General features: G+C 44.9%; 1 protein-coding gene across 5 annotated transcripts, besides 5 other annotated features; it reads right to left on the reverse strand.

Annotated features, from left to right (window-relative positions):
- Positions 6,190-6,690: an enhancer, noted in NCBI's record as "H3K4me1 hESC enhancer chr3:109043097-109043597 (GRCh37/hg19 assembly coordinates)". NCBI's record gives its function as "activates a minimal SCP1, AML or CMV promoter by ChIP-STARR-seq in primed H9 embryonic stem cells {active_cell/tissue: H9 hESC(primed)}" and the evidence as "EXISTENCE:reporter gene assay evidence [ECO:0000049][PMID:30033119]".
- On the reverse strand, positions 8,084-21,576 carry DPPA4 (developmental pluripotency associated 4). Of its 5 annotated transcripts, none has more exons than XM_024453622.2 (7): positions 21,554-21,576; positions 15,810-15,933; positions 13,811-13,971; positions 13,674-13,724; positions 12,464-12,752; positions 10,830-11,028; positions 8,084-9,964 (listed from the first exon to the last, which is right to left on the reverse strand). In XM_024453622.2, the coding sequence occupies exons 2-7, from the start codon at positions 15,829-15,831 to the stop codon at positions 9,928-9,930; spliced, it is 759 nt and encodes a 252-aa protein (XP_024309390.1). In that variant the 5' UTR covers positions 15,832-15,933; positions 21,554-21,576; the 3' UTR covers positions 8,084-9,927. The 5 variants fall into 5 exon arrangements, with proteins under 5 accessions (XP_024309390.1, NP_001335857.1, NP_060659.3 ...); NM_001348928.3 differs by lacking the exon at positions 21,554-21,576 and adding an exon at positions 19,404-19,486 and having other exon boundaries at positions 15,810-15,860; NM_018189.4 differs by lacking the exon at positions 21,554-21,576 and adding an exon at positions 19,404-19,486.
- Positions 17,766-18,374: an enhancer, noted in NCBI's record as "H3K27ac hESC enhancer chr3:109054673-109055281 (GRCh37/hg19 assembly coordinates)". NCBI's record gives its function as "activates a minimal SCP1, AML or CMV promoter by ChIP-STARR-seq in naive H9 embryonic stem cells {active_cell/tissue: H9 hESC(naive)}" and the evidence as "EXISTENCE:reporter gene assay evidence [ECO:0000049][PMID:30033119]".
- Positions 18,375-18,983: an enhancer, noted in NCBI's record as "NANOG-H3K27ac-H3K4me1 hESC enhancer chr3:109055282-109055890 (GRCh37/hg19 assembly coordinates)". NCBI's record gives its function as "activates a minimal SCP1, AML or CMV promoter by ChIP-STARR-seq in naive H9 embryonic stem cells {active_cell/tissue: H9 hESC(naive)}" and the evidence as "EXISTENCE:reporter gene assay evidence [ECO:0000049][PMID:30033119]".
- Positions 18,984-19,591: an enhancer, noted in NCBI's record as "NANOG-H3K27ac-H3K4me1 hESC enhancer chr3:109055891-109056498 (GRCh37/hg19 assembly coordinates)". NCBI's record gives its function as "activates a minimal SCP1, AML or CMV promoter by ChIP-STARR-seq in primed H9 embryonic stem cells {active_cell/tissue: H9 hESC(primed)}" and the evidence as "EXISTENCE:reporter gene assay evidence [ECO:0000049][PMID:30033119]".
- Positions 20,810-21,417: an enhancer, noted in NCBI's record as "H3K27ac hESC enhancer chr3:109057717-109058324 (GRCh37/hg19 assembly coordinates)". NCBI's record gives its function as "activates a minimal SCP1, AML or CMV promoter by ChIP-STARR-seq in primed H9 embryonic stem cells {active_cell/tissue: H9 hESC(primed)}" and the evidence as "EXISTENCE:reporter gene assay evidence [ECO:0000049][PMID:30033119]".

Here is a 23,868-nt window from a genome sequence, read left to right on the forward strand (position 1 = left end):
CAAGGCAGGTGGATTACCTGATGTCAGGAGTTTGAGACCAGCCGGCCAACATGGAGAAACCCTGTCTGTACTAAAAATACAAAAATTAGCCAGGCATGGTGGCACGCACCTGTAGTTCCAGCTACTGGTGGGGGCTGAGGCAGGAGAATTGCTTGAACCCAGGTGGTGGATCTCAAAAAAAAACAACAAAAAAAAAACTCCATTTATCTTATATATTTTTCTCTTCCCTCATTTTCTTTTTTTTAACAATCTATTTGAATCAGCGTCCAATCAAGGTCTGTGATAAATTGAAATAGGCCTTAAATTTTTCTTTATAAGTTATCTCCATCTGTTTTTATTTATTTATTTTAGGATCTCACTATGTTACACAGGCTGGGCTTGAACTCCTGGGCTCAAGCAATCCTCCTGCCTCAGCCTCCTGAGTAGCTGGGATAACAGGCACATGCCATCACACGCAGCTTCCACTTCTTACCTCTTACAATTCACTGTTGTTGTTATTGTTGAAATAATTGTGTGAATTTCCTATAGTTTCCTATTTGAATTTTGCCAGTTCTTGTTTTACCCTTTAGTCTGTTCTAGCTTCTGTTGCCCAGGCTGGAGTACAGTGGTGCGACCACAGCTCACTACAGCCTTTACCTGCTGGGCTCAAGAGAACCTCCCACCTCAGCCTTCTGAGTAGCCATGGCTACAGGCATGTGCCACTGCGCCTGTCTAAATTTATTTTTTTGTACAGACGGGGTCGCACTATGTTGCCCAAGCTGGTCTCTCCCAGGCTCAAGCAGTCTCCCGCGTTGGTCTCCCAAAGTGTAAGGATTACAGGTGTGAGCCACCACACTGAGTCTGCTCTTTTAAGTTTTTAAGAAAAATATTATTTCTGTCCCTCTTCACTCATCTGACGCCTCGTTCTTTAAGCTTAAATGCATTTCCTAAGAGTAACCCTAAAAGAGATTCCTCTTGTCATTCTGTCATTCTAGTCCTTCAAAAAAAAATCATTTGAATCTGTAATTTTGTATGTATTTGGAATCTTACGGTAATTTCATCTCCTCAATTAGCAGGTTCTATGACAACAATGGCCAGGTTGGTTTCAGTCACCTTTCAGAGCCTTGCACTCTGGCTCAGAAGAGAAGCTCAATCAATACTAGAGGTTTTTGTTGTTGTTGTTTTCTCGAGATTGAGTCTAGCTCTGTCGCCCAGGGTGGAGTGCAGTGGCACGATCTCGGCTCACTGTAAACTCCACCTCCCGGGTTCAAGTGATTCTCATGCCTTAGCCTCCCGAATAGCTGGCGTTACAGGTGCCTGCCACCATGCCCAGATAATTTTTGTATTTTTGGTAGAGACGGGGTTTCACTGTGTTGGCCAGGCTGGCCTCGAACTCCTGACCTCGTCATCCACCCACCTCGGCCCCCCGAAGTGCTGGGATTACAAGCCTGAGCCACCGCACCTGGCCTATTTTTTTTTTTTTATTTTTTGAGACGGAGTCTCGCTCTGTTGCCCAGGCTGGAGTGCAATGGTGTGATCTTCACTCACTGCAACCTCTGCCTCCCGGGTTCAAGCGATTCTCCTGCCTCAGCTTCCCGAGTAGCTGGGATTACAGGCGCCTGCCACCACACCCAACTAATTTTGTATTTTTAGTAGAGATGGGGTTTCACCATGCTGGCTAGGCTAGTCTCGTACTCCCGACCTCAGGTGATCCGCCTGCCTCGGCCTCCCAAAGTGCTGGGATTACATGTGTGAGCCACCACATCCGGCCAATGCTAGGGTTATTAATATTGCCTGAACCTCCACATTTCTACCCCTTCCCACCCAACTCTGTTGTATAGCAGATGTCTGTTTCTTTGCTGCTGGTAAAGGATTTGGTGTAAATACTTATCACAGACTAATTTGACTATTTCTACCAGACTGTGGCACTCTGAAGTTCTCAGACACATCCTTATTCCCATGGGGCTCAGTAGAGTGTCCAGTTCGTAGAAGGCTCTTCATTAGGCCCCTAAAATAACTCTAAAACAGATACCACCAATTTTAGTTTGGGAATTAGTGTACGTATACTTCAAAGCTTAAAAGTAGCCACTAACAGGGGGCTGAACTATTAAAAACAACCTTCAAAAAAATCTTTTCAGCTGGGCACAGTGGCTCACGCCTGTAATCCCAGCACTTTGGGAGTCTGAGGCGGGCGGATCACGAGGTCAGGAGATCCAGACCATCCTGGCTAACAAGGTGAAACCCCGTCTCTACTAAAAATACAAAAAATTAGCTGGGCGTGGTGGTGGGCGCCTGTAGTCCCAGCTACTCAGGAGGCTGAGGCAGGAGAATGGTGTGAACCCAGCAAGCGGAGCTTGCAGTGAGTCGAGATCGGGCCACTGCACTCCAGCCTGGGGGACAGAGAGAGACTCTGTCTCAAAAAAAACAAACAAACAAACAAAAAAAAACCTTTTCTGAATACCTTTTTTCTTATTTATTCCAATAATAGACAATAGTCCTGAAATACAAATGCATTACTTTTTTTTTTTAATTTTTATTTTTTGAGAAGGAGTCTCACTCAGCTGCCCAGGCTGGAGTGCAGTGGCGCCATCTCAGCTCACTGCAACCACCATCTCCCAGGTTCAAGAGACTCTCCCATCTCAGCCTCCCAAGTAGCTGGGATTACAGGCACCCGCCATGATGCCCAGCTAGTTTTTGTATTTTAGTAGAGACAGGGTTTCACCATGTTGGCCAGGATGGTCTTGAACTCCTGACCCCAGGTAATCTGCCCGTCTTGGCCTCCCAAAGTGCTAGGATTACAGGCGTGAGCCACCGCGCCCGACAAAAATGCATTACTTTATTCAAATACATACTTTATTTTCTGTATTGTAAGGTAAATAAAAATGCATTGTATTTCTCATTTAGATAAGTGCTTTCAAAATCATTTTTATTTTTTTAAATTTAATCTTACCTTTTTTCAAAATAGCTTTTATTTATTTGTTTATTTTGAGATAGGATCTCACTCTGTTGCTCAGGCTCGGGTGCAATGGTATGATCAGGGCTCACTGCAGCCTCTCACTCCTGGGCTCAAGTGATCCTCTTGCCTCAGCTTCCCCAATAGCTGGGACAACATGCTCATGGCAACACACCCAGCTAACACTTTCTAAATCAGAGAAATATGTTCTTTTTTTGTTGTTGTTTTTGAGACAGAGTCTCGCTCTGTCGCCCAGGCTGGAGTGCAGTGGCGCAATCTTGGCTCACTGCAAGCTCCGCCTCCCGGGTTCAAGCGATTCTCCTGCCTCAGCCTCCCGAGTAGCTGGGACTAACAGGCGCCCGCCACAACCCCAGGCTAATTTTTTGTATTTTTAGTAGAGGTGGGGTTTCACCATGTTAGCCAGGATGGTCTTGATCTTCTGACCTCGTGATCCGCCCACCTCGGCCTCCCAAAGTGCTGGGATTACAGGCGTGAGCCACCAAGCCCGGCCAGAGAAATATGTTCTACAAAAATAGATGTTTATGGAACACCAATATATAATAGATAAAAGTGGAGCGACTCTGGTTGGGTTTTTTTTTTTTTTTTTTTTTTTTGAGGCGGAGTTTCATTCTTGTTGCCTAGGCTGGAATGCAATGGCGTGATCTCGGCTCACCACAACCTCCATCTCCCAGGTTCAAGCGATTCTCCTGGCTCAGCCTCCTTAGTAGCTGGGATTACAGGCATGCACCACTACGACTGGCTAATTTTGCATTTTTAGTAGAGACAGGGTTTCTCCATGTTGGTCAGACTGGTCTTGAACTCTCAACCTCAGGTGATCCACCCGCCTCGGCCTCCCAAAGTGCTGGGATTACAGGCATGAGCCACTGCGCCCAGCCGCATCTCATATATTTCAGTGAAAATACAGTATGGCACAGTCAGTTTGGAAAACAGTTTGGCAGTGCCTTGTCAAGCTAAATGTACACTTAATATATGGCCCAGCAATCTCCTTCCTTGAGTATTTAGCCCAAATGAGTGAAACTTCAATATTCAAACAACAAATTACAGAGAGGTTTATAGAAGACTTATTTGTAATCATCAAAACCTAAAAATAACCAAATATCCTTCAAGTGGTGAAGGGTTCACAAACTGTGGTACCTCCACAAAATGGAATAGCACTATTCATTAATGAAAAGGAGCAAACTAATGATACATGCAAAAACATGTATCAGTCTCAAATACATTACGTTAAATTAAAGAACTCAGGCTCATTACATTTTTACAACATCACGGAAAAGCCAAATAATTAAAATGAAAAATAGATCACTGGGGCCAGGCGTGGTGGCTAAAGCCTGTAATCCCAGCACTTTGGGAGGCCGAGGTGGGTGGATTACGAGGTCAGGAGATCAAGACCAGCCTGGCCAAGATGGTGGCACCCCGTCTCTACTAAAAATACAAAAACTAGCTGGGCGAGGTGGCTCAGGCTTGTAATCCCAACACTTTGGGAGGCCAAGGCCGGCAGATCACAAGGTCAGTTCGACACCAGCCTGGCCAACATAGTGAAACCTCATCTGTACTACAAATACAAAAATTAGCTGGGCCTAGTGGTGTGCACCTGTAGTCCCAGCTACTCAGGAGGCTGAATCAGTAGAATCACTTGAACCCGGGAGGCGGAGGTTGTGGTGAGCCGAGATCACGCCATTGCACTCCAGCTTGGGCAACAGAGCAAGACTCCATCTCAAGAAAAAAAAAAAGCCGGGCCCAGTGGCACATGCCTGTAATCCCAGCTACTCAGGAGGCTGAGACAGGAGAATGGCTTGAACCTGGGAGGCTGAGGTTGCAATGAGCCAAGACCTCGCCACTGCATTCCAGCCAGGGTGACAGAGTGAGACTCCGTTTCAAAAAAAAAAAAAAAGGCCAGGTTCGGTGGCTTATGCCTGTAATCCCAGCATTTTGGGAGGCCAAGGCGGACAGATTATGAGGTCAGGAGATGGAGACCATCCTGGCTAACACGGTGAAACCCCATCTCTACTAAAAATACAAAAAAATAGCTGCGTGTGGTGGCAGGTACCTGTAATCCCAGCTACTTGGGAGGCTGAGGAAGGAGAATCATTACAGGCGTGAGCTACCACACCCGGCCTGAAACAGGAGTTTGAAGGAAGAGCAGAATGTAGAAAGTTCTTAACCTTTGCATTCTAGTTAGAGCTGCATGACTTCTGGAATGGGGAGGAATTCTTGTCCAGTCTGTTTACCTCTTTAGAACCCTCCTTGGTGTTATAAACCCCCTGATGTATTGTGGTCCTCCTCCTTGTCATCTACCATGGAGATAAACAAGACTTCTTTCAATCTGTAGCTCTGACATGTACAGAAATATTAGGGGTAGAGTTATGTGACACAAACTATTTCCTCTTTAATTTCCAAACTAACCATTTTTTCTCCTTTGCAATAAAATTTAGAGTGAAATGCACAGATCTTGAGTGTACACTGTAATGAGCTTTAAAAAATGAGTAGCCAGGCCGGGTGCGGTGGCTCACGCCTGTAATCCCAGCACTTTGGGAGGCCGAGGCGGGCGGATCACCTGATGTCGAGTTCGAGACTAGCCTGACCAACAGGGAGAAACTCTGTCTCTACTAAAAATACAAAAAATTAGCAGAGAGTGGTGGCACATGCCTGTAATCCCAGCTACTCGGGAGGCTGAGGCAGGAGAATCACTTGAACCTGGGAGGCGGAGGTTGCGGTCAGCCAAGATCGAGCCATTGCACTCCAGCCTGGGCAACAAGAAACACTATGTCAAAAATAAAATAAAATAAAATAAATGATTAGCCAATTCCCCCAATCAAGATAGAAAATATTTCTATCACCAGAAAAATTCCTTTGGGGCTCTTCCAGTCAATTCCCATTACTTCCGCCCTTTGGAAAACCAGCTTTACTTTTTATCACCAAGATTAGCAATTCTTACACTCTTCTGCAGGACTTGTGAAAACACATTGCTGAACCACCCCCTGTGTCATTCAGTAGGTCTGAGATGAAGTAATATGCATTTCAAAGTTCCAGGCTAATATGGATGCTCCTGGTTTGGGGACTAAATGAGAATCACTGTCACATTTTATGGAAAACTTTTTTTTTTTGAGATGGAGTTTCGCTATTTTTGCCCAGGCTGGAGTGCAATGGCGGGATCTTGGCTAACTGCAACCTCTGCCTCCTGGGCTCAAGCGATTCTCCTGCCTCAGCCTCCCAAGTAGCTGGGATTACAGGTGTGTGCCACCACGTTCAGCTAGTTTGTATTTTTGGTAGAGACAGGGTTTCACTATGTTGGCTAGGCTGGTCTCAAACTCTGGATCTCAGGTGATCCGCCCCACTGGGCCTCCCAAATTGTTGGGATTACAGGTGTGTGCCACTGCACCTGGCCCTTTTTGTGTGTGTGGGACGGAGTCTCACTCTATTGCCCAGGCTGGAGTGCAGAGGCACAATCTTGGCTCACTGCAACCTTTGCCTCCCAGGTTCAAGTGACTCTCCTGCCTCAGCCTCCTAAGTAGCTAGGATTATAGGCATGTGCTACCACACCCAGCTAATTTTTTTTTTTTTTTTTTGAGATGGAGTTTTGCTTTTGTTGCCCAGGCTGGAGTGCAATGGCGTGATCTTGGCTCACCACAACCTCTGCCTCCCGGGTTCAACCAATTCTCCTGCCTCAGCCTCCTGAGTAACTGGAATTACAGGCATGTGCCACCACGCCCGGCTAATTTTTGTTTTTAGTAGAGACAGGGTTTCTCCATGTTGGTCAGGCTGGCCTTGAACTCCCAACCTCAGGTGATCCACCCCCTCAGCCTCCCAAAACGCTGGGATTACATGTGTGAGCCACCGCATCCGGCCAATTTTAGCTTTTTTTGAATACAGAGATTGTCCTCTCGTTACTCACTGCAAGATCCGCCTCCCGGGTTCACCCCATTCTCCTGCCTCAGCCTCCCGAGTAGCTGGGACTACAGACGCCTGGCTAATTTTTGTATTTTTAGTAGAGATGGGGTTTCACCTTGTCAGCCAGGATGGTCTCGATCTCTTGACCTCGTGATCTGCCCGCCTCGGCCTCCCAAAGTGCTGGGATTACAGGTGTGAGCCACCGCGCCTGGCCCTTTTTTTTTTTTTTTTTTTGAGGCAGGGTCTCTGCTCTGCTGCCCAGGCTGGAAGGGCAGTGGTGCGATCATGGCTCACTGCAGCCTCAACCTCCAGCTCAAGCAATCCTGCCATCTCGGCCACCCGAATAGCTGGGACTACAGTCCACAGGCCACCACAGCGGGCTAACTTTTGTACTTTGGTGAAAGGGTTTCAATATGTTGCTCAGGCTGGTCTTGAACTCCTGGGCTCAAGTCATCTGCCAGCCTCAGTCTCCCAAGTGTTGGGATTACAGGCGTGAGCCACTGCCCCTGGCCCCTGTGGCTCTTCACATATGGCTATGTCTAAGTGTCATTCAAAGCAAGGTAGACTCAATTAGCCTGAGACAACAGGTGTAATCAGGACTAATTGTTTCCTCATTATTAGATTTACATTATATTTTTGGCAATGATATTGTGTACTTCCCATTGTTTATCAGAAAAGACATTTTAGTTTGTAACATTCCTGGTGGTGCTAAGTTGGAATCCTTGGTTAAGGTGGCTGTAGCCAAATTCCAATTTTTACGTCAGTAAGCCCCATCGTGCCAAAATGTAGAAATTTTATTTCCATCAACAATATGTTCAGAAGCCCTGACCAACGTTTACCCTTGGAAGCTGCCATGTCCCTTTGGGGCCAAGAGAAATTTGCAAGGCTGGCTCCAGGTTTCCCACACCAGATACAATGTGGGCACAGACCTATTTGTACAAGTTATCTTAACATCCAGATGGGAAATTGGGAATATAAATCTCTTCTCTCAGCTCCCCCCAAAACAGCAAGATGTCATGCCTCTGCCAGGGAACTCATCTGAGACACAGGGAGTTTATAGCTCCAACTGTCTTCCTCTTAGCATTCTGGGAGCATAGCAGGGAGACAGGGAGTGGGGGACTGAATGTGATTGATAGGAACTTTGGGGGAGGCCTGTGAAAATTAGGGTGATTTGGCAAGTATGTAACCTTAAGGTTTTATCTTGCTGGGGCAGGAAGATGAGTAAATAAACTGTCTTACTGGTAGACTCCAATTATTAATTTATTTTGTATATAGAGAAATTTAAGTTTATTGAAATGTGTTAGAAGCAGGGGAAGTATCTACAAGCAGAATCGTAAAGCCAAGGACATTTCCAAATTAATAGAAAGGAAGGAAACAGAACAGAAACTTGACCCATCCAAATAAAGCAGGGGAGAAGTTTAAAAAGGAAACAAAAGGAACAATACACATAGTATAAGAAAAAATGTCTATTATTTATTACACAATAATTCTGACCACCAACAACCAACGGCGGGGGCGGGCAGGAGAGAAGAACATCTTGCTTCTCAACAAACTTTCCTCCCTTGCTTTAACATTTTTGAGGATTCTTTCCCAAACCTATTACACCTGTATTATGATGGTTACAAATTTTCCAACTCTTCCACTCCTTCCAGTGCATTATTTTTAGTATCTTCATTAAACGGGCAAAAAAAAAGATCCCCTACTTGTAATAACAAAACAATGTTGGAAACTGTCATTAAATCAGGATAAGTGAAAAACAGATCTGTTCCCAGACTCGCAGGACTATAAGTTTAGGAAGTACACAAAAAAATTAAAAATTAATTACACAATAGGATACATTAAATATGTGCAGCTTTTTGTATGTGAATCATACCTAAGTAGTTTTAAAAACAAATGATCCAACCCATACCACCAACTAATAAAGAACAAACGAGTCATACAAAAGAAAAATCACACTTTTTGGTTTACTCCTACTTGAGTTAAGAACACTAACAATAAAATTTGCATGCAATGAATATGGTTCTCTAAATACAACAGATGAATTATTTTACATACACATCTTATTTTTATTTATGGAGAATCGGTTAATAAACACATTTTAAATTCAATATATTATGTATTTATGAGCGGGAAGCAACCTTAAACATTTTAAACTCCAGAAATATACAAAACAATTATAAGTGAAATAATACAAAGTCCCTTGTGTTTTGATCCTGGAGTCAAACCATAGAAATCTCAGGTTATTAAGAGAACTTTGAAAAATATTGTTTAGAATATTAAAAATCATGTGTTTGGGGGAGGGAGGGAATTAACAGCCTTTCTTTGCCTTAAAATACTTTACGTTTTATGAAATTGCAATTGGAATGAAGCAGCTCCTAAAGTAGTCAGTGTTCAGAGGAAGAGAAAATTGAGCACAAGAGCCAACTACCATTTTACTCAAGTCCATCACAATGCTTAGCTGAAGAACTCACTTAAAAGAGCTGTTGAAGGTCAGGCGCAGGGGCTCATGCCCATAGTCCCAGCATTTTGGGAGGCTGAGGAGGGTGATCACTTGAGTCCAGGAGTTTGAGACCAACCTGGCCAACATGGTGAAACCCCATCTCTACTAAAAATACAAAAAATTAGCTGGGTGTGGTGGCAGGTGCCTGTACCTAGCTACTCAGGAGGCTGAGGCAGGAGAATCATTTGAACCCAGGAGGCGGAGATTGCACTGAACTGAGATTGCACCACTGCACTCCAGCCTGGGCAACAGTGAGACACTGTCTCAAAATACAACAAAAAAAAGCTGCTGCTGAAGTCATGTCTATTTTAGAAAAGTAGTATGAATGAGTTTTTCTACATATTAACTACAATTTATGGTAATTTGTGAAATGTTTTTCCATTTTTAAATGTAAGAGTCTCTATCTCCACTCACAAAGCAACAGGCACTGCTAGGGGTCTTAGGCTAACATCTGCCACCCCACCAGTCTGCATGGCCCATAAACAGGTGCAGAGGACCAGAGTTCACCTGTCAGCAGCACCGCAGAATCCAACTCTCCAGCTTTTCTGCCATTAATTACCATAGATGTGGCCTTTTTCCTGATATTCTATTCCCATTGGAGGCTTTTTATTAAGACCTTGTTCCTATAAAGCAAATAAAGTATTTGTTTTTAAAAAGAATGAAGAAATATTAAAAATAGCCAAGAAACCCGCTGCTGGAATGCTGTTGAAATTGCCCTTACAACTTTAGGATCATAGGTAGCAAGCCTGTGATCCTGTCATTCAAGAATGAAGATCATCAGCCAAGTTATCATGCCTCTGTAATATATTCCCTGACTTGTGCCAACCATGGACAGGAGGCCTTGGAGGGGCTCTTTTCATCACTTTCCCAAAAACCTAAGTATGTCATTAAAGGACTACCCAAAGTGACCTCCTCAGTTCTCTTCAACTTGCTTGGCATAGAGAGATTATCAAAACACTCACAGCAAAAAGTAGGATATCCCAAAGAAGGAAAAGCCAATCACACATTCACATACTTCCTCCTGTGGGAGATGGTCTTGCTACGTTTCCCAGGCTGAGAAATTACCGATCTCTCCTTTCCATCTAGTCGATTCTTCCCTTAACTTAAGGAACCTCTTCTTTGATATTCATCATGTTATTCTAGGTGTTTACATGCCCACCATCCCTGTTAAGACTGTAGGCTACTTAAAGGAAGAGGTTTTTTGCTAGTCATTATTTCTGTGTAGAGCATACACTTTGAATATAGTAATTATATAATGTTTGTTGCTCCCAGAATTCTGTGTCTCCAGGTAGAAGCATTAAACCCTGACACATAAATGCTTTCTTTTTCCTGGGGATAAACTTAACTGAGTAATAATTTTCTTGAAACTCTTTACTGACAATTTGAGCTTGAAATACCTGGCTATTTAAGATTAATGTATATCTTAACTTTCTGCAATTGAAAATCCGGCACCCACTTTTAGTTTGTAGAAAAGCATCAGGTAATTACCTGTGAACACATTTGGGGCACAACATATTGTCTTCAAGGTGCGGGGGTGGAAAATTGGAGGCAGGAAGCAAGAAGAGTGCACTCACTCTCCCTTCTTGCTTTTCTGGAACCCAGGCTTGACCAGCATGAAACTGCAGGTGAACCCAACCATCTGTGTCTGCAGGGAGACTTTTCCCATGGACCACACACCACCTGACACCTGGCAATGGCAAAGGAAAGAGACAGGTACCCGCACACCAGGATGACATACTGATGTAAGACTGCATTATGGCCCATCACCCTTGATTGACCAGCTCCAAGATGTGAACCCTGAAATCCTAACTTAACCTCTTCTCTATTCTGTTCTCCTTTAGAAAAGCATACAAGCTGGGCGCAGTGGCTCACGCTTGTAATCCCAGCACTTTGGGAGGCCGAGGCGGGTGGATCACGAGGTCAGGAGATCGAGACCATCCTGGCTAACACAGTGAAACCCCGTTTCTACTAAAAATACAAAAAATTAGCCAGGCGTGGTGGCGGGGGCCTGTAGTCCCAGCTACTCAGGAGGCTGAGGCAGGAGAATGGCGTGAACCCGGGAGGCGGTGCTTGCAGTGAGCCAAGATTGCACCACTGCACTCCAGCCTGGGTGACAGAGCGAGACTCCATATCAAAAGCAAAACAAAACAAAAAGCATACAAGACAGTTCCTGTTAAAACTTAAAAATCTAGTTGGAAGTAGTATAGTTGTAGGTGGGCAGATGGTAGAAAGACTAACCCAGAGTGTCTGGAAAGGGCTTCATGAAATAAGCTCAGGGGTCTCAGCTCTTAACACACATTGGATTATGCTAAGCAGTTTGTCTTCTTTTGTTGTACTTTCTGTAATTCTTCCAACATATAAGGTAGGTATTACCCATTTTACAATGAAAACGCTGGGAAATATTTTAAATAACTTATTAATGCCATTCTGGGGCTCAGTTGCAGGCAATTAATTTTAGACCTTGCCTTTAATTTAAATTGCTTAAAGGGTAAAGAAAGAAAACCAGACTGCTATCCCCTTCTGATGCCATCAATAATTTAGAGCAGTGGTTCTCAAACTGTGGTCCCCAGACCAGCATCCTTAGTACTGCCTGGGAAACTGTTAGAGATGCAAACTCTTGCCAGGTACGGTGGCTCACGCCTGTAATCCCAGCACTTTGGGAGGCCAAGGTGGGAGGATCATCTGAGGTCGGGAGTTCGAGACCAGCCTGACCAACATGGAGAAACCCCATCTCTACTAAAAAGACAACATTAGCCGGGCATGGTGGCACATGCCTGTAATCCCAGCTACTCAGGAAGGCTGAGGCAGGAGAATTGCTTGAACCTGGGAGGTGGAGGTTGCGGTGAGCTGAGATCGCGCCACTGCACTCTAGCCTGGGCAACAAGGGAGAAACTGTCTCAAAAAAAAAAAAAAAAAAAAAAAAAAAAAAAGGAAAAAAAAAAAAGAAATGCAAATAAATGCTCAGGTCCTGCCCTAGACCTGCACCAGAAACTCTGTGGGCAGGGTCCAGGAATCACCGGCCCTCAAAGGGATTTTGATATACCCTAAAATGTACCAGTGATTAATATCTACTAAGCTTATTTCCCCATTGGACCAGAATAAGCTCTTCATGTTGCGCTTACCAGAGGCCTCTTGTGGAGATTCCACTGCCTCTGGTGTCCTCGCCCTGGCTGAAATTCTCGCCCAGGAGGCCAGCAAAGCCTCTGGGGCAGAAGTTGTCACCACAACTGTATTAACTCCCTCAAGGAGAGCAGTGGAATTTTCCAGGGCAGGCGGCTCCCCCACAGGAGGAAGAGCCACTTCAGGAGGATGTGTCTCAGAACTTTGCAGGGACGTTTCCCCCTTTTCCACCTTTAATTTTTTTTGCAATGATTTCCGGATTTTGGCCTCTTTTGCTGTGCTAGGAAAATCCTACAAAAAGGGTTAAATAATAAAGATAAAAATACAGATTAAAATTCTAACAAAAATGGCCTAAGGAGCTCTTGATCAAATACAAAGTTTCACTTAGGAGGACTAGGTTCAAGAGATCTATTGTACAAGTTGGTAACTATACATAGTTAATAACAATGTACTGTCTTCTTGAAAATTGCTCAGTTGGCCACCCAGTGGCTCAGGTCTGTAATCCCAGCACTTTGGGAGGCCAAGGTGGGTGAAACACTTGAGGTCAGGAGTTCGAGACCAGCCTGGCCAACATGGTGAAATCCCGTCTCTACTAAAAATACAAAAATTATCCAGGCATGGTGGCTCATGCTTGTAATCTCAGCTACTCCAGGGGCTGAGACAGGGGCATCACTTGAACCAGGGAGGCAGAGGTTGCAGCCTGAACTGCAGCCTAAGTGACAGAGGGAGACTCTGTCTCAAAAAAAAAAAAAAAAAAAAAAAAGAAAGAAAAGAAAAGAAAAGAAATGAAAAGAAAAAAATAGAAAAAAAGAAAATTGCTGGCCAGGCACAGTGGTTCACGCCTGTAATCCCAGCACTTTGGGAGGCCGAAGTGGGTGGATCACCTGAGGCAGGCGCCTGTAATCCGAGCTACTCTGGAGGCTGAGGCAGGAGAATTGCTTGAACCCGGGAAGTGAAGGTTGCAGTGAGCCGAGATGGTGCCACTGCACTCCAGCCTGGGTGACAGTGCAAGACTCTGTCTCAAAAAAAAAAAAAAAAAAAAAAAAGAAAGAAAGAAAGAAAAAAAAGAGAAGTAGAGATGGGAAATATTGTTCTTTCTTAGAACTAGGGGTGGAGGAACAAGGTGAGGCTAAGACAGTTCCTTTACTCACTTTTGAGGCTACAATAGGTAATTAGGATAAGCATTGAAACGTCCATCCTTTAAAAAGTTACCTTTTGATTTGGGTAGGCAAAGGCACACAGGCGCTTATATGCATCCAATTTCTAAGACAATAGAAAACTGAGTTAGTAAGGCAAATAAGGTTCCTACCCTTCCTCCCAGCAGCACCGTCCCCAGCCTGGGACCTCACCTGGCCTTTGGAGCTCAGCTTCAATTGTTGGCACCAGGCCCGCAGAATGTCCCGGTGAATCAGATTAACAGGTGGCAGTTTAGAAGGTAATGGAGGGATTGGTATCTTCTTCTGAGGTCTGGGGTTGTCAGTGTGCTCTGCCTTTTTCTTAGGGCAGAGCACTGAAGCAGAATGGAATCAAATGAGTAGTAATTATCTTTGTGTAGCTTTTCTGAATTTCAAAAGTAAAATCACTTTTTTTTTCTTTTTTGAGACAGAATCTTGCTCTGTCGCCCGGCTGGAGTGCAGTGGCGCGATCTTGGCTCCCTGCAACCTCCGCCTCGTGGGTTCAAGTGATTCTCCTGCCTCAGCCTCCTGAGTAGCTGGGATTACAGACGCCCACCACCACGCCCGGCTAATTTTTTGTATTTTTAGTGGAGATGGGGTTTCACCATGTTGGCCAAGCTGGTCTCGAACTCCTGACCTTGTGATCTGCCCACCTAGGCCTCCCAAAGTTCTGAGATTACAGGCCTAAGCCACCGCGCCCAGCCTAAAATCACTTTTAGTTAATAGTCCAATCCCTCTCAAACCTAGGATTTACCACTTCTAAAACCCAGTTTTATTCCTAAATTGCCCCACTACTGAGGTACACTTGCTCCTTTGTGAGCTCCTTAATCCACAGAATCCAGGTGGTGGCATCGGAGGTTGCACTTCCATCCCAGGGGAATTACCGCTGTCTTAGACTTGAGATCATACTCAGTGGTGTCCTCTACCCCCAGAGCAAAATCAACACCTGACAATGCTACACAGGCAACCACTAATACCCTTAATTCTGCCAGCCCACCCTAGGTCAGGGAAGCACTCTGGTTTCATAGCAGGTATGTTTCCTTAGCTCTGCTGTGTTTCTGTTCATCCCGCTTCTGCACCTCACATACCTTGTCTTCATTCAGTAAAGATTTCTGGCTGGGCGCAGTGGCTCACACTGTAATCCCAGCACTTTGGGAGGCCGAGGTGGGTGGATAACCTGAGGTCAGGAGTTGGAGATCAGCATGGTCAACATGGTGAAACGCCGTCTCTACTTAAAAAATTAGCTGGGCGTGGTGGCACATGCCTGTAATCCCAGCTACTTGGGAGGCTGAGGCAGGAGAACTGTTTGAACCCGGGAGGCAGAGGTTGTAGTGGGCCGGGATCGTGCCATAAAAATTTCTAAGGCTGGGCATGGTGCCTCACACCTGTAACCCCAGCACTTTAGGAGGCCAAGGCAGACGATCACTTGAGGCCAAGAGTTTGCAATCAGCCTGGCCAATATGGTGAAACCCTGTCTCTACTAAAAATACAAAAATCAGCCAGGCATGGTGGCACACGCCTGCAATCCTAGCTAACTTGGGAGGCTGAGACAGGAGAATTGCTTGAACTCGGGAGGCACAGGTTGCAGGGAGCTGAGATGGTGCCACCACACTCCAGCCTGGATGACAGAGCAACACCCTGTCTTGGTGTCTCAAAAAAAAAAAAAAAAAAAAAAAAAAAAAACCAGCCTGTAATGACACTAATAGTAGGGTTTACTCTGTACATATTACTTCTCAGGCATAGTCTAAGTGCTTCACTTAACTACTCTATGTAAATTTTAACACTCCATTCCCACCGCTTAATAAAGGTAGATATTGTCCTAACTTATTTTTAGAATAGGAAGTCCGGTTTCAAGAATGGATCTTCAAATTTACAGCTGTCTGTTCCCAAATCATTGCACACTGAAATCCTTAACTCCAAGTAGCAAGTGAAGGAAAAAATGATCAGCAGAACCAAATATGCTGTGGAAGTCTGAAGATAGGAAGGGATCAGTTAGAGCAGTGGTGACCAAAAGATGCTTCAGGAAGGTAACAGTTTAAGCTTGGCTTCCATGAAGTGCAGGATTTGCACAATACATGATGGAAATTTCTTCCCTGGTTTTTCTTCTTCAGAAAAATTCCTCTGGCTTCTAAGACCCGAGAAGGTGGGATTTGAGAATTTGAAGACCTCTTACCTTTACTGCCTTTGATAGACATTTTTTCTTTGGTTCTCTTTGCTGATGTTCCTGGCAAAGCAATTGAATTTGGTTGATTAGAAGCCTGCTGATCCTCTTCCCTCGACTTCTCTGTGGAGGTCCACTGGGGAACAGAGGAGCTGGTCAGTCATTCCTCTAGTGTCCAAACCACACATACACTACCTGCCTCAAGATAACTCACTTCTAAGGCACCAACGCAGTTACTGGACTCCACTGGCAGTGTGGATTCTCCTCTGGGTATCATCTTAATACTCAGTTTCATTTACAAGACTGGGAAACAATGATGGAAAAAAAGGGAGGAAGCCAGTTTGAAAGCACATGAAAAGACAGATACAAACAAGAGTAGAAGAAAACAGCTCTGCCTTGAGGGGAAAAAGCGCTTAGGTAGGCTCACGCCTGTAGTCTGAGTGCTATAGGAGGCCTAGGCAAGAGGATTGCTTGAGTCCAGTAACTGGATACCAGCCTGAGCAACAACATAGTGAAACCTTGCCTCTACATAAGGAAACAAAATTAGCTGAGCATGGTGGTGTGTGCGTGTAGTCCAGCTACTCGAGACTGAGATAGGAGGATTGCTTGAGCCAGGGAGGTAGGTAGAGGCTGCACCACTGCACTCCAGCCTGGGTGACAGAATGAGACTGTCTCAAAAAAAAAAAAGAGGCCCTTAACTCACTTACTATATTCCATCATCTCTCACCTGGCAGAATTTTTTCCCCCAGTCCTTCATTCTTGACGCCTTCCAAATAATTTTCTAACACTGTTGGCAGAGTGACACTATGAAAAGTTTCAGTGGTTTATTGCTCTTAACATAAAAGTAATTGTCTTTAACATTACCTACCAGCCTCTTATCTCCTATTTCACACTGCTCTCCCTGACCAAGCTCCAGCCACATAATTCCTTTCCTTTCCAAAGTTGTTACATTCCTCAGCCCCAACCTCCACCCTACTTCTATTTACACTTTAAAATCTTACACCTTAAAAATCTTACTCTTCTTTTAAAAGTCTCACCTCAAGTGCTATTTAACCTGGTCCTTCCAGACCAATCTACTAAATACTACCTCATTTCTACCACTTGTTAATTGCAATTACATTGGTTTGTGTGATTTCTTTTTCATCATAGGCACTCAATAAATATTGGTTCATTGAATTAAAGGAAGCAAAGTGGGAGTGGGGAAAAGTTGTTTAATCCAGAGACAGTAACATATATTGAGCCTCTGTCTCATACTAGGCATTGGCTTTGATATGCTCCTCACTTTCATTTTTTTAAAAAATATTTATTTATTAAAGAAAAGGTCTTGCCCTGTCACACAGGCTGGAGTGCAGTGACAGGACCATAGCTCACTCCAAGCTCTACCTCCCGGGTTCAAGTGATCTTTTGCCTCAGCCTCCTGAGCAGGTGGGACTACAGGATAATTTTTTGTAGAGGTGAGGTCTCCCTATGTCTCCCCCCACTGATCTCAATCTTCTAGCCTCAAGCAATCTTCCCGCCTTGGCTCCCCAAAGAGTTGGGATTAAAGGCGCGAGCCACTGCGCCCAAGGGTTCCCTATTTTCTTTTTCTCTGAGAGGAGTCTCGCTCTGTCACCCCGGCTGTAGTGCAGTGGTCCAATCTCGGCTCACTGCAACTTCCATCTCCCCGGTTTAAGCAATTCTCTGCCTCAGCCTCCCCACTAGCTGGAATTACAGGCGCCTGCCACCACACCCGGCTGAATTTTTCTATTTTTAGTAGAGATGGGGGTTTCACCATGTTGGCCAGGCTGGTCTCAAACTCCTGGCCTCAAGTGATCCGCCCACCTCAGCCTCCCAAAGTGCTGGGATTACAGGCGTGTGCCACTGTGCCTGGCCTTGGCCTTCCTTTTTTCATTCATTTAATTCTCATAGCAATCTGGCAACAATTACTTCTCAGACACAGAAGCTGAGAATCAGAGGTAACATAAAGACACAGATTAGGGGTACATTAGATATAAATTAAAATTTAAATATAAAGGCTAGGCTCCGTGGCTCACGCCTGTAATCCCGGCACTTTGGGAGGCCGAGGTGGGCTGACCGATTGAGGTCAGGAGTTCGAGACCAGCCTGGCTAACATATCGAAACTCAGTCACTACCAAAAATACAAAAACTACCTGGGCGTGGTGGTGCGTGCCTGCAATCCCAGCTAATCGAGAGGCTGAGTCAGGAGAATCGCTTGAACCCGGGAAGCAGAGGCTGCAGTGAGCCGAGATCGGCTACTGCACACCACTCTGGGCGACAGAGTCAAACTCATTAAAAAAAAAAAATTAATATAATAAAATTTCTCCTAAATCTAAATCCTTTTCTTCACTTTCAGGGTGGATTACTGGACAAATTAACATTTGTATGGCATTTTTACATCTCTATAGCAGTTCTACATTTTGATTTGAAATTTATATTTGCATAAACCTTACAAAAAGTACTCACTTTGGACCTCACAAAAGACTTAAAACCGAGACAGTTAAAAATGACCCAGTTCAAGTCAAGAGGACCTGAGAGCGCTCGGATATGGCCGTTCAGTGCCTGTGCAACGTCTTAAATCCTCTCTTCCTTCAGTTTCTGTCTGCATTGTTCCCAATGTCTGGCTTCTGATTACTCCTAGGTCCTAAGGACGCTGGGAAAAGGGGACGAATTCATTCTCAGCACCCTCGGTTTAGGATCTGTGTCCGTCTAAAGGAAATTAAGGGGTTTCATTCTTTTCCAAACTCAGCTCAATTACCTCTTCCTAAAATCTTTCCTTTAACACCCTTTTCTCCTGTTACCATTTCCCTCTAGCCCCCATATTCAGTTAGTTCTTTCTGACAGGACTAAGCACCTCTTCAAAACAGAAAACCCGGGCCGGGAGCAGCGGCGGGCGCCTGCAGTCCCAGTAGCACTTTGGTAAGCCGAGGTGGGAGGATCGTTTGAGCCTGGGCGGTTACAGTGAATAGTGATGGTGCCACTGCACTCCAGCCAGGGAGACAAAAGTGAAACCCTGTTCCAAAACACAAACCTGAAAACCTAATTTTTTAACTTTTTCTTTTGAGGTGGAGTTTCGCTCTGGTTGCCCAAGCTGGGGGTGCAATGGGGCGATCTCGGCTCACCGCAACCCCCGACTCCCGGGTTCAAGCGATTCTCCTGCCTCAGCCTCCCGAGTAGCTGGGATTACAGGTGTGCGCCACCACACCTGGCTAATTTTGTACTTTTAGTAGAGACGGGGTTTCTCCATTTTGGTCAGGCTGGTCTCGAACTCCCGACCTCAGGTGATCCGCCCGCCTCGGCTGCCCAAAGTGCTGGGATTACAGGCGTGAGCCACCGCGCCCGGCCTCTTTTTTTTTTTTCCCCATCTTTTGACACACTCAACCTCCTCAACTAAACCTAGAAAACCTCATTTCTTACTTGTCTGCTCACTCCAATATACCAGGCTGCAATCATATTCTTGGGCCTTACTCTTAAAATAAAAAAAAAAAAAGTCAAGAGGAGAAAATTCGAAGGCACATTCTTTTCTCCTTAAAGGAAAAATCAGGAGTGCCCAGGGAAGACAGAAACACAAAGACAGACAGAAAACAAATCCACTAAAACTGTACTGACCTCCTTGCCTTTTGCCTTCTCCATACTTGTAGAAGAAGCGGAGCCTCGCAACATGCTTCCAAAATGGCCCCTGCCCCAAGATTGCTATTTGCAAAGTCTCCTCCCACTTCCTGCCGCCCGAAGACCCTTTTTCTCTCCACCTCACCTCTTCTTTTCTTCTCCCCTTCTGTTCCCTCCCCCACAATTTGTAAATGCTAAAATTGCATTCTTTCTTATTCATGGGGTGACTTTTGTCTGGGTTGAATTACTAATACTATTCCTGGCCCTTTTCTGTTCACTTTAAATGTAATTATCCAAAGTATGGTTCCGGAGACATTGGGAGATTGAGCACTCCTTCAGAACGATTCTACGGGGAAAAAAAACAAAAAACAAAAAACAAAAAAACAGTGGCCAGAGACTTGAGCAGGATGTGTGAAGGGATTTAATAATGGAACTTGTGGCAACAGTAGACTTCAGAGACCAGACTGGCGGCTTGAAGAAAGCTATTTTCTCGTACCAAATACATTCCATTTCCTAAGTAAGTTACTCAACCAACTAAAACTCCAGGTTTCTCTGTACTAATACCGAGCATCTTTTCATCTGCCAACGAACTAATAATAGTAGCTTTTAAAGTCTATAGAGTATTTGTTATTTATTTTGTAGAGGGCAAGTGGGGGGGTCTGGCTATTTTGACCTGGCTGGTCTCGAACTCCTGCCCTCAAGTAATTCTCCAGCCTTGTCCTCCCAAAGTGTTGGGATTACAGGCGTGAGCCACCACTCCCCGCCCGAGTATTTTTTTATATCTCAAATTGTGAGTTTTAAATTCAGTCATTATTGTTCCCCATTTTATATATGACTAAAGTTGGTATAAATTTTTATTGGTAACTTTTTCAATAGCACAGTAAGTGAACCCCTAACCTACTGACTCCCAAAGAAGTTCAAGTTTTTCTCCTTAAAATAATTTGAAAAATCTTTCCTCAGATCAGTGCTCCCTGTCAGATTGTCAAGAGATGTGAAGTGAAGGAAGCAGTGGCTGTGCGACTGAAACCCTCCCTTGTCAGGGTCCAAAGTCTCTTTTGTTCTTTGGTTTACTTTGTTGTTTTTTTTTCCTACATCTCATTGCTTGTCCTAAAATGATAAATAAGAGACTGTCTTTATCCAAATGGTGTTAGTAATCTGCTCACAGGCTAGAAATCCACGGACAGAAAAAGTAAGTAAACGGAGCCCAGGAATAGAGAAGGAAGTGCAGGTTGTGGACTGGGCAACCCCCAAGGCGGCAAAGAGGAAACCAGGTGAGTTGAGGTCATCTGGGAGATATTAGGGCTTTGATTTAACAATTCTTTACCACAGCCTTTGGTAACCACCAGTAGGACTTTCTAATTAAGGTTTGTGTATAAAGTGTATAACTGAATCATCTTTCTTTTGTCAGTGTAATTGAACGTAACATTCAGAATAACTGGAGTTCTGGGCTGGGCATGGTGGCTCACGCCTGTAATCTCAGCACTTTGGGGGGCTGAGGTGGGCAGGTCACTTGAGTTCAGGAGTTTTGAGACCAGCCTGGCCAACAATGGCAGAACCCCTTCTCTACTAAAAATGCAAAAATTAGCCGGGCATGGTGCGTGCCTGTAATCCCAGCTACCAAGGAGGTTGAGGCAGGAGAATTGCTTGAGCTGGAGAGGCAGAGGTTGCAGTGAGTCAAGATCGTGCCATTGCACTCCAGCCTGGGTGACAGTGTGAGACTCCATCTCAAAATAAAACATAAAATAAAAATAAAACATAAAAACACAGACACCAAATCCAGGCCAGATTGATTCATTTTTAAATGTAAGGCTTTAGCAGCTAGCCAGACAGGATTTAAACCCAACCTCCCCTTCACTAGCTGTGTGACCTGGGCAATAACGTTAGGTCTCTTTGTTTTCTCATCCATGAAATGAGAGTCATGAAAATAATAGCCTTTACTTAGAGGGTTGTGGGCATGTCTGGAGAAAACAGTGTCTGGAGAAAACAGTGGCTGGCACAGCACATGTTGGGATCAGAAGAGCAGGGCGTGGTGGCTCATGCCAGTAATCCCAGCACTTTGGGAGGCAGGAGAATCGCTTGAGCTCATGAGTTCAAGACCAGCCTGGGCAATATAGTGAAACCCCATTTCTACCAAAAATACAAAAAATTACCAGGCGTGGTGGCGCAGGGGTGCCAGCTACTCGAGAGGCTGAGGTGGGAGGATCGCTTGAGTCCAAGAGGTGGAGGTTGCAGTGTGATCATGCCGCTGTACTCCAGTCTGGGTGACATAGTGAGACCTTGTTTCAAGAAAAAGACAAAAAAAAAAAAAAAAAAAGAGTTGGAGAGGAATGAATTTGAGAGATTTAGGGGTATTCTGGTTGGGTTTTCTTTTATTTTTCCTTTTCCTTTTTTTTTTTTTAAGAGGTCTCCCTATATTGCCCAGGCTGGTCCCAGGTGAAACTCCTGGTCTCACATGATCCTCCAGCTGTAGCCTCCCGAGTAGCTGGGACTAAAGGCCAGCACCCCTAAGCCCAGCTTTTTCTTTTCGCTTTCTTTTTTTATAAAAAGTTTTTTAATTGTGTAAAATGAACTGAATTAATGAGTCCTTTAGTTTACCCGGAGGCAGTGAGTCTTCCAAAGTCATTAATCTGCATCTGCAGAAAACAAACCAGCATTGATTCATATGTAACACTGTTTCCTAACAGAATGGAGAGAGGGGGCAGGAGGTGTGGCTGTGGGGGAGGGAGGGAACCCTTGTCTGTGTCTCTCTGCTGTGTATTCCAGAAGCGCTGAGTCAAAAGCTGGGTTTATTTAATATCTATATAGAGTTCCCCAATTTATAACAGTGCATGAAAATACCTCTTTCCCCATGTCCAAGAGTCTAGTATTTTAACAAGTACACTAGTACTTGACACACCTAATTTATAATAATTCTACCTTGTAGTATCTCCTATAGTGGATAATCATTGCCGTTTTAGTGGTTATTTTACTGTAGGAAAAGGTGAGTCAGTTAAAATTAAATTTAGGGAGTAAGGCAGATCATGAGGTTAATTAATAACTTTTGTTTAAAAAGGGAAAAGTTGGAGGTAGATGATAGATCTGGTTATCATCAAAAACAAGAAAACCCAAACCTATTTGCTTATAAACAATTTCCCTCCCTCCCTCATTTCCTCCCTTCCTTCATATCTTATTTTTATTTTTTATTTGAGACAGAGTCTCGCTCTGTAGTCCAGGCTGGAGTGCAGTGGCGCAATCTCAGCTCACTGCAACCTATGCCTCCTGGGTTTTTAAGCGATTCTCGTGCCTCAGCTTCCCAAATAGCTGGGATTACAGGCGCCAGCCACCACGCCCGGCTAATTTTTTTTTTTTTTTTTTAATTTTTTTTTTTGAGACAGAGTTTCGCTCTTGTTGCCCAGGCTGGAGTGCAATGGCGAGATATTGGCTCACCGCAACCTCCGCCTCCCGGGTTCAAGCGATTCTCCTGCTTCAGCTTCCCGAGTAGCTGGGCTTACAGGCATGTGCCACCACGCCCCCTAATTTTTTGTATTTTTAGTAGAGACGGGGTTTCACCTTTAGCCAGGATGGTCTCGATTTCCTGACCTCAAGTGACCCGCCCGCCTTGGCCTCCCAAAGTGCTGGGATTACAGGCGTGAGCCATCATGCCCAGCCCTCCTTCATATCTTTTTTTGTTTGTTTTTTTTTTTTTGAGACGGAGTGTCGCTCTGTCGCCCAGGCTGGAGTGCAGTGACGCGATCTGGGCTCACCGCAAGCTCCGCCTCCCGGGTTCACGCCATTCTCCTGCCTCAGCCTCCCTAGTAGCTGGGACTGCAGGCGCCCGCCACCACGCCTGGCTAATTTTTTGTATTTTTTAGTAGAAACGGGGTTTCACCGTGTTAGCCAGGATGGTCTCCATCTCCTGACCTCGCGATCCGCCCGCCTCGGGCTCCCAAAGTGCTGGGATTACAGGCGTGAGCCACCGCGCCCCGCCATATCTTAAGCACTGAAAATAAAAAGGCGAGTCTGGGCGCGGCTGCACGCCTGTAATCCCAGCACTTTGGGAGGCCGAGGCGGGCGGATCACTTGAGGTCAGGAGTTTGAGACCAGCCTGGCCAACATGGCAAAACCCCGTCTCAACTAAAAATACAAAAAACAGCCGGGCGTGGTGGCGCGTGCCTGTAATCCCAGCTACTTGGAAGGCGGAGGCAGGAGAATCGCTTGAACTCGGGAGGCAGAGGTTGCGGTGGGCCGAGATCGCGCCATTGGACTCCAGCCTGGGCGACAGAGTGAGACTCTGTCTCAAAAAAAAAAAAAAAAAGAAAAGGTGGCTTTGGTCCTTAATTACCACAAAGTAGGAAGAGTTCCAAAATGCCAGTAAACATAGTATCATTGACTCAAATACTTGTTTTTTTTAGACATCCTCTTTTAAAAAAAAAATAACATATTGGGGGTGGGTGGGTTGGTCTCCTTCCATTCCTCAGGCTGGTCT

The sequence above is a fragment of the Homo sapiens genome, chromosome 3 (genome assembly GCF_000001405.40).
Source record: "Homo sapiens chromosome 3, GRCh38.p14 Primary Assembly".
Taxonomy (NCBI): domain Eukaryota; kingdom Metazoa; phylum Chordata; class Mammalia; order Primates; family Hominidae; genus Homo; species Homo sapiens.